The sequence below is a fragment of the Homo sapiens genome, chromosome 9 (genome assembly GCF_000001405.40).
Source record: "Homo sapiens chromosome 9, GRCh38.p14 Primary Assembly".
Lineage (NCBI taxonomy): Eukaryota > Metazoa > Chordata > Mammalia > Primates > Hominidae > Homo > Homo sapiens.
The window spans coordinates 33,786,196-33,800,757 of NC_000009.12; the positions used below are offsets into that span (position 1 = coordinate 33,786,196).

Below are 14,562 nucleotides of genomic sequence, written 5' to 3' on the forward strand. Positions count from 1 at the left end.
TCAGGGGAGAGGCCATCACTTGAAGATGCTGTCTCCTGCTCCTTCTCCGGGGATTAGGTATGAGCCTTGACTTGTGAGGAGTCTGGGGTTAATGTTAATGCTGGGTAGAGAGGTGGAAAGACTTCCTCTCCGGAGAGTCTGAAGCCACCAGACAGAAGATGAAGGGGATATGTTAGATTAAAGGACCATAACAGAGTAATTGTCGGCACAATAAAAAGGAGGCAGTGCCCTGGGGTCCTTTGGGAGCTGAGGTGGTATTGGAGAGATAAAGCAGAGACTTTCCCGTCTGACCCCAAGCTTGTCGGCCCTCATGAATATCTCTCTGGAACTAGGCTCTGTGTTCAGTGCTGTCATCTCTCAAAAGCCAAGCAGGGATATCTGTCAACGTGGAACCTCCATGATGATCCAGTGTCAAGTCGACAGCCAAGTCACCATGATGTTCTGGTACTGTCAGCAACCTGGACAGAGCGTGACACTGATTGCAACTGCAAATCAGGGCTCTGAGGCCACATATGAGAGCAGATTTGTCATTGACAAGTTTCCCATCAGCCGCCCAAACCTAACATTCTCAACTCTGACTGTGAGCAACAGGAGACCTGAAGACAGCAGCATATACCTCTGCAGCGTTGAAGACACAGTGCAGGGCACAGATCAAAGATCTAAGCAAGAACCTCAGCTCCCTTCTACCCAGCTCCCCTCACATGAACCTGAGGGCCCTGTCAAGGTGGGACAGAAGAGGAAACCACAGCTCTTGGGTAGACACAGCTGCTTCTGTGCTTGTAGGTGGGCATGGGTATGAATGGATAGACTGGGGATGAGGAGAGCATCTGCAGGACTAGCTGCAGTGTTCTATCCACAGTCAGGAAGAGTGGCTCCTGGAAAGCTGAGGGTAAAATTTCTTCTAGAAGGGTGCTCAGAAATACCCAATAAAAACAATCAGATACAGTTTCCTTCAAGTGGCAGGGTCAGTAATAGCCTTTAACTGTTTTATCTCAAGGCTCTATTTAGCTGGTTTTCTATCATAATATATTTTGGAAGAACTTTAGTCATCTTGAAACAAAGCTGGTATTACATTAATGACATCTGGTTGTTCTCCGTGGATAGGAATTATAAAGCCCTCTAGATGCCTCAGTATGACAATATGACACATGCATCCCAGACCAATATAAAATCTGCAAAGTTCAGGAACCTTCTATACTGGTGAGTTTTGGAGTGGTCCAGAGGTTTGGGGCATGTTGAAATATCTCCTCTAATGTGAGAAGTAAGCTGCTGCACCTTAGATCATCTACCACAGAGAAAGAGATGCAATGCTTAGTCTTTGGACTTTGAATTAAACTTTGGATATACTGCATTTGATTGTGCTACTCTATTCCGTTTACTATGTAATCTGTAAAGCTGGGGCCAGGGAAAGAGAGGGTTCTGTGGCAGAACAAGCCCATGATAAAAGCTTCCTGCTGCTTGGGCCATAGACTAAGCAGACCCAGTTGCTCCTGAAGAGCCTATGGTAGATACAGATGCTCTGTGGAGCTCCTGACATTCCCCAGTAAGAGAATCACAAGGCAGTGTGGAACAGGTTCACTGTGCCCTGATTTGCACTTCAGACCACTGCATCTTGGGCTACACTTTTGTTGCTTTCCAGACCCCAGAGAGAAAGAATGCTCTCACACACAAATTACACGAAGAGTGTTTATTACTTACACACAGGCAGCAAGGGAAAACAGAGGCCTAAGATTCAGGGAAAGCCAGTCCCACTAGGCTCAGGAAAGCTGTCCAGGGTGGATGAAATCTTGTCTGTGCCTTCCCTACTTGCACTGCCACTGGGGGACCTCAGAGAGCAGCCACCCTGGGTTTTATATCACAGAGCAACTTGACATGCTTGGCAAAGCACTGAAGGACATTCTATTTCTAGAAGGGACTGGAACAGAGCCCTGGCTATTCTGGACAGTTCCTCCTTATCTCAGGATGTTACATTCCCAGAACATTGTACAGTTATTCTTGAGAACTACAAGCAAGAAACTGGGGAGTACTGAGTTTGTCCAAGGCCACCTGGAGAATTGCCCTGCAGACAGGTGCAGAGTTTTGGTTAAAGCCATACTCTTACCAGCCAACGACCCCCTCTTCTTCTTTTGAAAAGTTGCTCCTGGCTCTGTAATGGATGCCTTATAATGGCATTCAGAACAAGGTATTATCTGATCTGCAAAACTGAATTTGGTTGTGCCCAGAGCATTCTCTCTGTTATTAAATGGAAAATATATAATCAAGACCATACTTAAGCACAGCTGGAAAAAGGCACAATTCAATTTCAAGAGCACATCTGAGTCTCACGGTACCCTACTCATACTTTTCTCCTCTTACCTTCAAACCACACCTAAGTTTTATGGAAATTCCATATTTCCAGTTGAGAAACATGAGCTCATTGTTTTAGATGGGTCTTCACGTTATTCTGGAAGGATCATTACAGTCTAACCAAGTATGGTTCTGAAAGGTAGTGGTGAAGGGAAATCCTCTCGGGGCCAAAACTTAAATTGGTATACCTGATTGTTGTCCATATTTTATTGAAGAAGAGATGGCCAGAAGTATAGCTATATCTTATGTTCAATTTTCTTTCATACTATCATCTAGTCTCCTTACCTATTCAGTCATATTTTTCTTCTTTTTGCTTCTCTATGCTACAATCTGGGTAATTTCTTTAAAACTACTGTTTAGTTTACTAATTCACACCTCAGCTCCAGTAAGCCTCTAATTTAATCTTTCAGCTGACTTTGTTCATCTAAATTATATTAATTTTTATTTCTAGAAAATCCACTTGGGTCATTTACAAATATGAGTGGCCATTTTTGAAAGCATCTTACTCCTTGTGTATTTTAAAACTATTTTCTTTTTATAAGTATATTAAGCATCTACTGGGAATTCTTATCTGACAATGCCAGCATTTGATACCTTTTTGCATCTGGTTTTTAGTAGTCTGCTGGCTCTCACTCAGGGTGGCCTATTTCCTTGGGCATTATTTAATTTGATGTCAATTCATCTTTCAGAATTCTTTAAATACTGGAGTAAAAGTGGGTTTTCTAAGAAATATTCATGCTTGCCTCTGTCAAGAAATTGGGGCGCTACAGACCTAATATCACTTTTTTTATAATTCTCAGTAGATATCTTCTTGGTCACAGAATGTCTATCTCAAACCCCAATGGGCTGACTGTTCAGCGACCATGAATATTCAGAGGAATTTTTTTTAAATCCTTCACCCAAAGCCAAGACCAAGATAAATAATATTCTTTGTTAACTGTTTCTAGGATTAGTTTTCTAGCTCATCCTTTCACTAACTGTGTATCTCTTTGTGTACCTCACTTTATGAAGGAGTGATTCCTATCTAGTTTCTGGTCCATGTAAGGTGTCATGGGCCTTCTCCAGTTTCCACGTGTACTAATTCTCCAGGTCACAGGAATGCACATGTATACCCATTTTATGTCATGGGTTCAGTGCTAGCTTACCTTCCTGCTCGATGCTCCCATTACCATAGGAAGTTGACAAATTTACCTACAGTGAAGCCTTGGATTATGAAGCACCTTCCTATATTACAAAATTGCCTCTTTAAAAGCAGTAAAGCACTGTGCTTAGGAACTTGAACTTTATCAAGTGACAGACCTAAGTTTAAAACTTGGTTCTTCTTTAACACTAGGTGTAACCTTAACAAGTTACACAATTTCTCCATGCCTTAATTTCTCCATAGAAAATAAGAATAATAGTGAGTTTTTAAATGTAGGGTTTTTTTATAAGAAAGTGATGCAATTATCTGCATAAAAAGCACACAGAGACAAAATATGCAATTAGTGTAGTTGCTACCTAAACGTATTTCTCACTATAAAAACATATTTTACCACTAGCAATTCCTTCCTCAAGAATAAGTATGACCCGCTCTCAGAAAATTTTATTATTATAATTGTTTCTCTTTTAGCTATTTTAATTACATAAAAAATTTGTGGTATTATAAAATATGCATATTATCAAAATAAAAAGTCAAAATCGTTCAGTTTAATACAATTAGATCATACAATATGTAGTTTTAGAATTTATTCCCTTAACCCAACAATATTTCATGAATATCATTTCATGTCAAAAATATTTTACATTAACTTTAATAAGAATAGTTCAATACACTGATGACCATCCTTCATACAATCAAAACCCATGACAAGGTATATATCCATAGGCTAGATGACAGGGTTATTTAATTTTAAATAGCAATTGGTTGTGTGTTTTGAATTATTTCTGTTACAGACTCAGAAGTAAACCATGAAAGCCCTCCTAACTCTACCTGCAGATGGCTGGTCCTTTTTATTCAGGTGTTAACTTAAATGCCACCTCCCCAAAGAGACCCTTCCACTCTACGTAAAAGCACTTCAGCAGTCATCCCATATTATATTATCACTTTATCCTATTTTACTAATATATACTCATCATTTACTGAAAGCGATGTATGTGCATCCCATTTCTATACCTCCTCACATGTGCATAAATGCATGCACGTGTACTCACAAATGCACTGAAACAAGAACCTTTTCTATCTTCTTCATTGCTGCTTCCAAATAGCCTAGAAGAACTCCTGGAATATCACTCCAGGAATTCAATAAATATTTGTGAGTAAATAAATATGATTTCAAAGAAAAGAGGAAAATTTATACAGCTGCAGTGGATTTCCCTGGAGGAAAACTCTACAAAGGCATTTGAGTTTAGATAATCTAAGCCCATAAGAAAATTAACTAGATTATTCTAACAGGAAAGGAATAAGCACTTCAAACTTTATATTTTTTATTCTTGTTTCAAATTTATGTTTTAGTTGCGGGGAGGATAGGAAAAGATTAAAGGACACAAAATTACAGCTAGATAGGAGGAATAACTTCCAGTGTTTTACAGAACTGTAGGAAGACTACAGATAACAAGCTTTGTATTTGAATAGAAAGGTACACATGTCATGTGCCAATCCCCTTCTGCTGCCTTACCCAAGACTGGGAAATGGAACAGATGATATGGGTTCTACAGAGAAGCAAAGTGCAGAACCTGCTCAAACACAGTGGCTCTGGGGTGGAAGGTTCTCAATTGGAATTGTGCTGGTGCCTGTGTGGATGGAGCACTCAGTTCTGAGCCTTGGGAGCCTTTTGAAGGCCCTCCTGGCCAAGACGATCTTGAGGAAATGACTGACCCGTTGGCTGCCTTCCAAATGGATGACACAGTCTAGACTTTTATAAGCTAAATGAGTAGAAGGAACCCAGTTGACTGGATTTATCACCAAACCCAGCTTGTGAGCCTCAATTTAGAGCTAGTATAATTTAGAAAAATAAATACATACACCATATATTAAACTCTGAGTATCATGAAACAGATCCTAGATGTTACAATCATAAGAATCTATATGGGTGTTTCTCCTGCACTCTGTCCTGGCTTTCTTCTGCTTCCTGTCTAAGGGAGCCTGGACTCACTTAAGCAGCTCTAATAGGCCAAACAAGAGAGTGGTCAAGGAGTGGCTGAAATGTGAACAGAAAGACTCACCATTATATTACAGCAATCAATCTATCCTTAAAATAATTTAGGTTTAGTCTCAAGTGCTAGAGGCTTCCCCATTTACCCATACATGGAAGCCTGAAGAATAAACAGAACTATAAACTTCCCTCCGGGCATAAAACTTGCATGTCTTCCATGGCTTCAAGGTGGGGAGCAGCTGGGCAGGCAGAAGGAGGGGCAAGGGGCAGGCAAGAGGAGGGGCAGGAGGCAGGCAGGGAGGAATGGGCTACTCCATTTAGCTGATCAGCCTTGACCAGTTCATGCTCTGCGACTCCATATTACAAGTCAGACTTTTCTGGATCATACAGAGCACTCCCTTCACTCTCCAGATTCAGTGATTCCTGGGATGAGATAGTAACAAAAACAATTCCTTATTGGATAAAGCGAAATTGTGCCGTGGGGGAGATAAGAAGCTTAGAAAAAAAGAAAAATAATGGATGAGGAGAGGAGCTGGGAGTTTGGCGGGAAGACAGCCTAAAATCTGACAATCTGTTTGCAGAATGATAAAGGATGCTGGAACCCAAGGAGGAGTTGACTAAGAGCTTAGGAGAAAGATCTGGTGGGATTTGGAGAAGAAAGTGTTAAAAAAAAAAGAATTTGGAATCTGACACTTTTCAGACTACTATGAGGTCTGAAAGACTCATGTAGCAACGTGAAGAGGAACAAACTTTGTCTGAATAGGGAAGGTTCTAGTATGATCTTTGCTGGAGAAGTCATTTGAACTCTGAGTTTTAGATTGTTGATTTGTAAAAAGGAGAGAACAATATCTGCTGCCTACCACCTCAGTGAGGGTGCACCAAGGATCAGCTCAGAGGAGGCAAAGCAGAATGCCCTATGGCAGAGCATGGAGGCCCTAGAGTCAGACCACCATACTTACATCCCATCTTTAAAACCTACTGGCTGTGTGGCCTTGAGCAAGTCACTTTACCTCCAGAAAGCTCATTTAATCACCTGGAAAATGGGCAATCGCATAAGTGGTTGTAATGTAAAATGAAGAAAAAATTCTTAACTTATATGAGTTACATGCTGTATAGTAACATGGTATATAGTAAGCACACAGAATTGATTCACTGTTATCAAAATTGAAGGACAGTGGTTTGATGTGCTAAGCACTCAGTACAAGCCAGAAAGATGTCTTAGAGAAGAAGACAAAGAAATCTCTAGTTCAGGATGAAGAGTACCAAGAATGGCATGTCCTCCAAATTGAGCTTGGGCAGCTGGATCTGAACCTATCCTACACATCTGAGTCTACAGTATGAGGTAACAGTCTCCACCTATAGCTATCTTCTCTGCCTGTAAGGTCATTCCTTTTTGAAGAAAGCTGACCTCAGACTATACTGTGATCATTTAAGGAAGAGCGCAAAATACTGGAGAAGGCTAATCTTCAAGCTCTAGATACAGAAAATCCTCATATTCTTGGGTGTTCCTTTCAGACAGAGTCAGAGCCACAAGCACTGATCCAAAAATCCCGTTCTCCAAAAAAAGTTTCCATCTTCTGCCAAGGTTCACCTCCCTATTTAGTGCACACTGGTGTCTACAGTTGCTACAGCAAGAGCCTTTCCTTATCCTCTAAGGCAGGAGTTGTGTGAAGACCCCATGACAAGGGGACAAAATGAAACAACATGTTTAGGGGCAACACAGGAAAAACCCATATTATCAATGCTCCAAAACCTGGATACCTCAGGCTTGGCCAGTCATTTGTGAGCAGAGAGGTGTGTCATCTACATGGCAGTCATGGCCTGGATGGGTCTGGAACTGTGGCAAGGGAAGTCTCTGAGACAAGGTGCCAGGAGAAAGATGAATTCAATCATCTATTTCTGCCAGGAAGAAAAGCAGGAGGAAGGAATCAGATGCACAGTTTGTCCTCTGGGGACCTCTGCCTTGATCCTCAATAAATCTCCTTTTAGATGTCACCTGCAGCAATTCCCACAGTTCACAATGATCTCCATGGCTTCCGTTGGCCTTATGGTGAGCTCTGCCAAGATCTGTATTCTTGGGCAAGACAGAATCCTTCTGAATCTCAGTCTCTTCCTCTATAAATGGAAATAATTTTGCTCTGCACAAATCACAATTAGCATGTTTGTGGGAAGTCAAACTGTGAAACTCAGCATAACTGAAAAGCAATGTACCACTGTTGCTTATGTGAAAACTCTTGTAAAGCTGTCAGGCACCATGCACCATCTAAGTACAGCAGTGTTAGGTATGAGCCCATCAGTGATTAGAGGGGATGTGGGGTGGAGAGCGGGTCTCTGAGCAGTGGATCTCCTGGCTTTGGGGAAGCTGGCTCGTTGGCCATGCCAGGAGCTGAACCTGAAGGTACTCTGTGTGTCCTCTCAACTCCACGGGCCCCACATTCGCATTTTTTCCAATTCCCTCTGGTTTCCATTTGCTTCCTCCCTCTAGCCCCCTGGCCATGTCCGATCTCAACACGAAGTTTCTGAGCTTTTCTCATTTTGTTCACCATCTCCAGAACATCTCTGCTTCTTTTACTTTTCAAAGAATTTAAACTTGAACTCTGCTCACTCCTGCCCATCACCAACCTGAGCTCAGAGTTGCTGAGAAGGGAAAGCACCCTCATAAGGAAGCTCCTCCTTTCCTTACATCATTAGACTTGATCACAGACAGCATCTCCATCTCCACACTACTCTGGCCAGGTTGTGCCTCAGTCAATTACACAACTGTGTCTTAGTAGCCTTGGTAGGGCCCAAATCAGGATATTCTCTGGGAAGATTCACTTGATACTAAGCCCAGCATAATCTCACTGCATCTAAAATAGAAAATTCTAGACCCACCCCTCCACATCTTCTTATTGATCCCAATATGTGACCCATTTACCATGTGCTAAAATCTCTACCTACTGCTGATTCTCAGATCAGATGGTAACCCAGATTTACCATGGTCCAAACTCTGACATCTGATCAGGGGCATGTCATTCTGGTTCAGGCTGTCAGCCCTGAGCAGGTGAGTCAGTTTGCATCACCCTAAGTGCAGGTTGCCAGGACAACCGTGAGGCTGCATAAAAAGAACCTATGACAGGATGCACATGAGAGAGACAAGTGGCTTCACATTGAAGAAGGGGAGGAGTGCGCCATTGGTTTTCCATCCTCCAGATGCACTGAGTAAGCTCCTACCTAACCTGTGTCCCCTCCTTCTTTGAAACACTTCCCATCCTTTTAAGCCTTGGTAGGAAGGAGAGCCATCTGGAAGCCCAGAATCCTATGGAATGCTAAGTCTCCCTTCTCCTTACCCCTTAGTGTTGGAATTCTGGATACCCAAAGTCTTGGATTTGACCTTTGTGCACAGTGACTGCAAAGAAGCATATTCATATTCACAAAAATGAGCCTTAGATAAGACTTTCCTCCTCTCGTGGGGGCTCCAGGAAACTGAAAAGCCAAGCTTGTTACCAATGCTTGCCCTTCCTTAAGTACATTATTAAATACATCCCCAATAGTTAAAAGGACTCCTAGACACCCAGGCCATTCTCCCTCCTTCTAACCCTCATCTCCTCGGCCTACGAAAGCCCAGCTGTGTGATCCGGGGATTGGTTTCCCCTGTCTTCCCCATCCCAGCATCCTTCCAGGAAATAGCCAGTCTCCCTCTCTGCTCTCAGAAGGCAAGTTTCCTTATCACCTGTGAATCACAAACCCACAGAGTGGCCAAACGTAGCCGAGCTGATGCAAGACCCTGGCAAGGGGAAAGCTGCAGGTGTGTTTGTGCTGGGAAGAACTGTGACCCTCACCTCACAGACACCTCCTCTCCTGATTCTTGGAAGGGTATAAGGACAGGCCTTCCACCACCAGTCAGGCACACTCTACCACCATGAATCCATTCCTGATCCTTGCCTTTGTGGGAGCTGCTGGCGAGTTTCATGACCTGCCTCAGGCCCCACCCACCCCCTTTCCTGGCAGACACATGCCCTGCCATTCTTGCCACCTCTCCTCTTTTGACTGCGCTCTGATATTCTATTTCCTCCATCTGACATATCTCCTTCCCATCCTCCTTGGGCTCTCTTTAAGCCTCACCTGTTTCACCTTTTCCCTCATTTCACTCCCACCACTGTCATTCATCCATATCCGAGCTGTGGTTGGAGAAGCTGGGAAGGGAGACCAGGTGGGGCTGGCCCATGAAATGAAGTGGCAGGCTTCAGGCTTGGCTCCAAGAGCACCAGTATAGCACCACTATAGCTGCTCTTAACCTCGAATGCACCTGGGGAGGTTCAAAAATTACTCATGCCAGAGATTCAACTCTAGAAGTTCTAACTTCATTTGTCTGGGGTGCAGCCTGTGTACTGGGCTTTTAAGCTTCCCAGGTGATTTTTAACGTTTCCAGGCATGCCGCCAAAGTTAAGAATTGCTCTTCTATTGGCCAATAACAAAGTCTACCTTTGTTATGCCAAAGTGAGCCTGGGGCTGCCCTCAACTCTGCCCTCACTGCACAGATCTGAGCTATGGGGGAAGCTAGTCATGGCCAGGTCTACCCAGACAGGGGGTTTTCCTAGCTTAGCCAAAGTATCCTGACAATCCAGGGCTCAAATAGCCAGGGCAAGTACACAGGTGATGAATAAAAGAGAGAAGCACTCAGTGGGTGAGACAACAACATACCAACTGCTACCCCACTGGAAGCATTTTGAGGACATTCCTTGCATCCTCAGCCTGGTGTCCCCAGGAGAGATCTGAGCCCCTGCAGGGTACCTAGCTACGTGCCCTGCAGACACAGAGACTTGGGAGCCACATCCAGTGATGCTCACCAGGGGTGGCAGCGCTCCCTCCCTTGCCTGGCCTCACTGGGCTTGTTAAGGATTTCTAATTGGCAGGAAGCAACCGCAGGCTGGGAGCACCACCCCTAACATGCTACTGACTTGCCTTCTCCCTTCCTATTTCCACTCCAGTTGCTGTCCCCTTTGACGATGATGACAAGATTGTTGGGGGCTACACCTGTGAGGAGAATTCTCTCCCCTACCAGGTGTCCCTGAATTCTGGCTCCCACTTCTGCGGTGGCTCCCTCATCAGCGAACAGTGGGTGGTATCAGCAGCTCACTGCTACAAGACGTAAGTGTGGGGCCCCTGACTGCAAAGCTCCCAGCCAGGCTGCCTGGGAGAGCTTGGCTTCAGCCCAGGGAAGTACTGAGGTTGGGTAAGACGGATGGGAGAGGTGGTGGAAAAGAAAACTTGTTGACAGCAGCTGACTCTCCAGAGCAAGGCCAATCCATGAAACAGCAAGGGTTGTGGTCATAAAAGCAGGCAGGGATAATCTTGGAGTTGTCAGAGCTAGTGACAAAAGCAGGCAAGTACCTTTTGCTGGTTAGCTACACATTAAAGCGACCTAAGACAGAGTTTTTGAAAATACTGATGCCTGTGTCCTACCCCAGGGCAATTAACTCAAACTTCTCAGGAAGACAGTGTGAATACCAGTGAGTATTTAACACTCTACCTCTGGTAACTGTAGAGTGTATAGACAGAGCTGAGAACCGCTGCCTACACGAAGAACTCTCAAACCTGAGTATGCGTCAAAACCACCTGCAGGCTTATTAAAGCACAAATCACTGGGTCCCATCCCCAAGGTTCTGATCAGCGGGTGGGGGTAAGGACCAAGAATTTACATTTCTAACAAGTTCCCAGGAGATGCTAATGCTATGGCTACCCTTGGATTAGATTACACAGAAGGGTGGTGCTCACTAGGCCAAGAAGGGAGGGAGGAACAGGCGCTGTGCGCAGTTAGCAAAGACCTGGGGTGAAGAATGCTGGGAAAACTACGAGGAGCTCTTTGTGCCCACAGTGCTAGTGACTGTGGAGATTTGTGGGAAAGAGGCTGGGAAGGCAGGTTGAGGAGCAGCCTCTGGTGGGATCCCTTTGACTCTTCCCCACCCCACTACCACCAGCCTCTGAAGCAGAAAGGTCCTGGGTCTCACACCTGCACTGACCCACATCCCTCTCCTGCCCATGCAATATGGCCACACACCCCACCCCATGCCTCCAGAGCTATCCATGAGCAGTGAGCTTGAGGACCCTGGGGAAGGTGGGAGGGGTGCCCAGGCTGTGGGAGAAGGTCTTCACCATGCCTGCCCTGCCCATCAGCCGCATCCAGGTGAGACTGGGAGAGCACAACATCAAAGTCCTGGAGGGGAATGAGCAGTTCATCAATGCGGCCAAGATCATCCGCCACCCTAAATACAACAGGGACACTCTGGACAATGACATCATGCTGATCAAACTCTCCTCACCTGCCGTCATCAATGCCCGCGTGTCCACCATCTCTCTGCCCACCACCCCTCCAGCTGCTGGCACTGAGTGCCTCATCTCCGGCTGGGGCAACACTCTGAGCTTTGGTGGTGAGTGGGACCCTTTGTCCTTCTACTTCCCCCCATCCTCACAATTTCCAGAACGAAGCATGCCCCTTTATTTGAATCCTCTTGCCTCCCGGCTTAAGACACATTTCTAGTGCCCATTACACACAGTCTCTGCACTGGGCACCAGAGAGATGCAAAGTCTCAAGGACTTGGCTCCTAAAATCAAGAGATAGGACAAATGGAGAACTTGCTGTGATCACGTCTTGGGAGGGGTTCAACAATGATCATTCTGGAAACTAAAAGCCAGAGTCCCTTGCCAGAACTTACGTTTTGGAGTCCTCTCCAGAGGCAGTGTTCCTCTTCAATGTTCCATCCCAGATTATTGTCTCCTTCTCTGGCCTCACCCACATTTCTACTTTCTTTGATCTCTTCCTGATCCTCACAGCTGACTACCCAGACGAGCTGAAGTGCCTGGATGCTCCGGTGCTGACCCAGGCTGAGTGTAAAGCCTCCTACCCTGGAAAGATTACCAACAGCATGTTCTGTGTGGGCTTCCTTGAGGGAGGCAAGGATTCCTGCCAGGTGATTTGACCCTTTCCCATGCTGAGGCTCCCACCGATACCCAGGCCCCACCGGGGAAAAAGATTTGAACTCCCAAGGTGGCAGGGCTGAGGCGGCTCCCTGCAGTGCTCCCATGGAGAAATGAGGAAGGTGGCGGGGCTGAGGCGGCTCCCTGCATTGCCCCCATGGAGAAACGAGGAAGGTGGCGGGGCTGAGGAGGCTCCCTGCAGTGCCCCCATTGGGAAATGAGGGAGGCTCCCTTGTGCTGCACGCTGCCTGCTTAGGAAGAACAGAGAATGGGCCACCGTGGGAAGGACGTGGAGCCACAGAGCTGGCTGGAAAGGGGTCTTTTAAGGTTCACAGTAAATGTAGCTATATTCCTCCTCCATCTCTCTCTTTATACAACTTGTCCCTTCTTCTCCCCAGCGTGACTCTGGTGGCCCTGTGGTCTGCAACGGACAGCTCCAAGGAGTTGTCTCCTGGGGCCATGGCTGTGCCTGGAAGAACAGGCCTGGAGTCTACACCAAGGTCTACAACTATGTGGACTGGATTAAGGACACCATCGCTGCCAACAGCTAAAGCCCCCGGTCCCTCTGCAGTCTCTATACCAATAAAGTGGCCCTGCTCTCACTCTGTGTCTGTGCCGGCTCCCTCACACTCCTTCACACTGGAAAGCATCCTCCAATCTCAGGTCAGACAGGGCTGTCCCCCTGAAGGGTAAGCAGAGCCGCCAGCTCCCAAAATGTGTTCCATGGTACACTAGAGTAGCATATACAAAGAGATGGAATCCAAAAATAATACGAAGCTTAGGACAAAAGGGGCACTGTTTTCTAGAGAAAAGTGTTTCAGAAAGGTGGTCTTTGGGTGGGTGGTATTGATTTTTCTTTGGGCTTCTCACAGTGGTTAGAGCTACTCTGCCTTCGAACAATCACAGCACAGAAAATGTGTCAGCATCTTCGAGGTGGCCCAAAAAATCTGACGAGCTGAATCTTATTGCTAAAATACAACAATCATGACAAATGCTGTTGGTGATGACATGCCTCTCCCAAGAATGTGTCAGCACCAAGCCCTCCCTTCTCATTCACCTGGAAAATCAGACTCAAGTAAATCTCCCTGGCCCCCTAACTCTTCCCTCAATTCCCTAGTTCCATCTCTGTGAGCAGGCTAGAGAGATGTTCCACCTACCATAGCGGGAGCCCGACTGCGACTTGGGAATCAAGCCCAGCACTGCACGCTGCATTTTCATCTTCTTTGCCTTTGTGGTAGGACGCTGCAGTGAATCCCACAGCTAACACCAGCTCCCCACTCTGACCTGGGATAGAAATTAGAGAGGGTCAAGATTCACCCATTTGATCAATTAACTGAGGAAGGATTCATTTTCATAAAACTTGCTCACCTTTGAGACACTTCAAGTGAGTTATTTGGGACTCTTTTAAAAACGTGGAAGGAAAGACATCTGAGGGCTGTGACACCATCCAGCCACTCTGGCCACACGTTGGCTGGCTTGCATCCACTGCACGCAGCAGAGGAGGGCAGGCCCCGTGACACCTGTGACACCTGCCAAAGCCTCCTCCTGGCAATTCTGAGAGGGCCCATGTTAGGGATGTAGCTCATCCAAGCTTGTCACTGAAGATCCAAGCAAGCTTCTCTTTGAAATTCCACCTTTACCTTCTGTCCCAAGTGGTTGTGGACACCCATGGGAGCTGGTACCAAGGGCCAGGAGCAGCCAAGGGAGACAGACAAGTTCAGAGCACATTTCCAGTTACAGGGAACAGAGCACAGGCCTCCAAGTGTCCATGGAGCAGCATGCAAATTGCAGTGAGGAGTAGAGGAAAACCTCTACATGGAGCACAGCATTCCTGGCAAACACAGGGGACCGCAGTCCACATGCTGTGGAATATACCCAAGTATGCATCAGACACTTGTTTGGTGAACAGTAAATGTGTAAGATCAATTACCTTGAGAGGGCCATCTGTGCTCCACATGTGTGGTTCGTGTGAGGAGATGGCTACCACTCACTATCTTCCGAGGGAAACAGGGCTCAGGGCTTGCACACGATGGACAGATACACACGGGTCACCCAGAATGTCACTGCATACAAACATCACTTTGTTCAACATGGATTTTGTTTTCATGGAGTCCAAACGCAGACCCTA

At 45.8% G+C, this 14,562-nt stretch overlaps 1 protein-coding gene, 1 long non-coding RNA gene and 1 pseudogene across 21 annotated transcripts in view, besides 4 other annotated features; 2 read left to right on the plus strand and 1 right to left on the minus strand.

The window, feature by feature from the left end:
- The window catches only part of PRSS3 (serine protease 3), a 48,553-nt gene extending 35,517 nt beyond the window's left edge, over positions 1-13,036 (plus strand). For 3 of the 6 annotated variants that reach the window (XM_011517965.2, NM_007343.4, NM_001197098.1), the window contains 4 exon segments: positions 10,448-10,607; positions 11,634-11,887; positions 12,291-12,427; positions 12,833-13,036. In XM_011517965.2, coding sequence (XP_011516267.2) covers positions 11,758-11,887; positions 12,291-12,427; positions 12,833-12,985 — 420 coding nt within the window. In that variant the 5' untranslated portion in view covers positions 10,448-10,607; positions 11,634-11,757 and the 3' untranslated portion in view covers positions 12,986-13,036. 6 annotated transcript variants of the gene reach the window in all.
- UBE2R2-AS1 (UBE2R2 antisense RNA 1) overlaps positions 1-14,562 on the minus strand; it is a 94,784-nt gene that overhangs the window by 62,111 nt on the left and 18,111 nt on the right. For 9 of the 15 annotated variants that reach the window (NR_170203.1, NR_170205.1, NR_170216.1 and 6 more), the window contains exons 2-3: positions 13,592-13,718; positions 12,173-12,362 (exon numbers count right to left, since the gene is read on the minus strand). This is a non-coding gene — a long non-coding RNA (UBE2R2 antisense RNA 1). Of the gene's footprint in view, positions 1-12,172; positions 12,363-13,587; positions 13,719-14,562 lie in introns of all 15 variants that reach the window. The other 6 variants (NR_170204.1, NR_170202.1, NR_170208.1 and 3 more) reach the window with 2 other exon arrangements.
- On the plus strand, positions 26-633 carry TRBV29OR9-2 (T cell receptor beta variable 29/OR9-2 (non-functional); annotated as a pseudogene). Its single transcript is given in 2 exon segments — positions 26-57; positions 333-633. Coding segments are annotated over 2 exon segments (333 nt in total).
- Positions 634-640: a recombination feature (RSS heptamer).
- Positions 651-663: a recombination feature (RSS spacer).
- Positions 664-672: a recombination feature (RSS nonamer).
- Positions 9,915-10,415: an enhancer, noted in NCBI's record as "H3K4me1 hESC enhancer chr9:33796108-33796608 (GRCh37/hg19 assembly coordinates)". NCBI's record gives its function as "activates a minimal SCP1, AML or CMV promoter by ChIP-STARR-seq in naive H9 embryonic stem cells {active_cell/tissue: H9 hESC(naive)}" and the evidence as "EXISTENCE:reporter gene assay evidence [ECO:0000049][PMID:30033119]".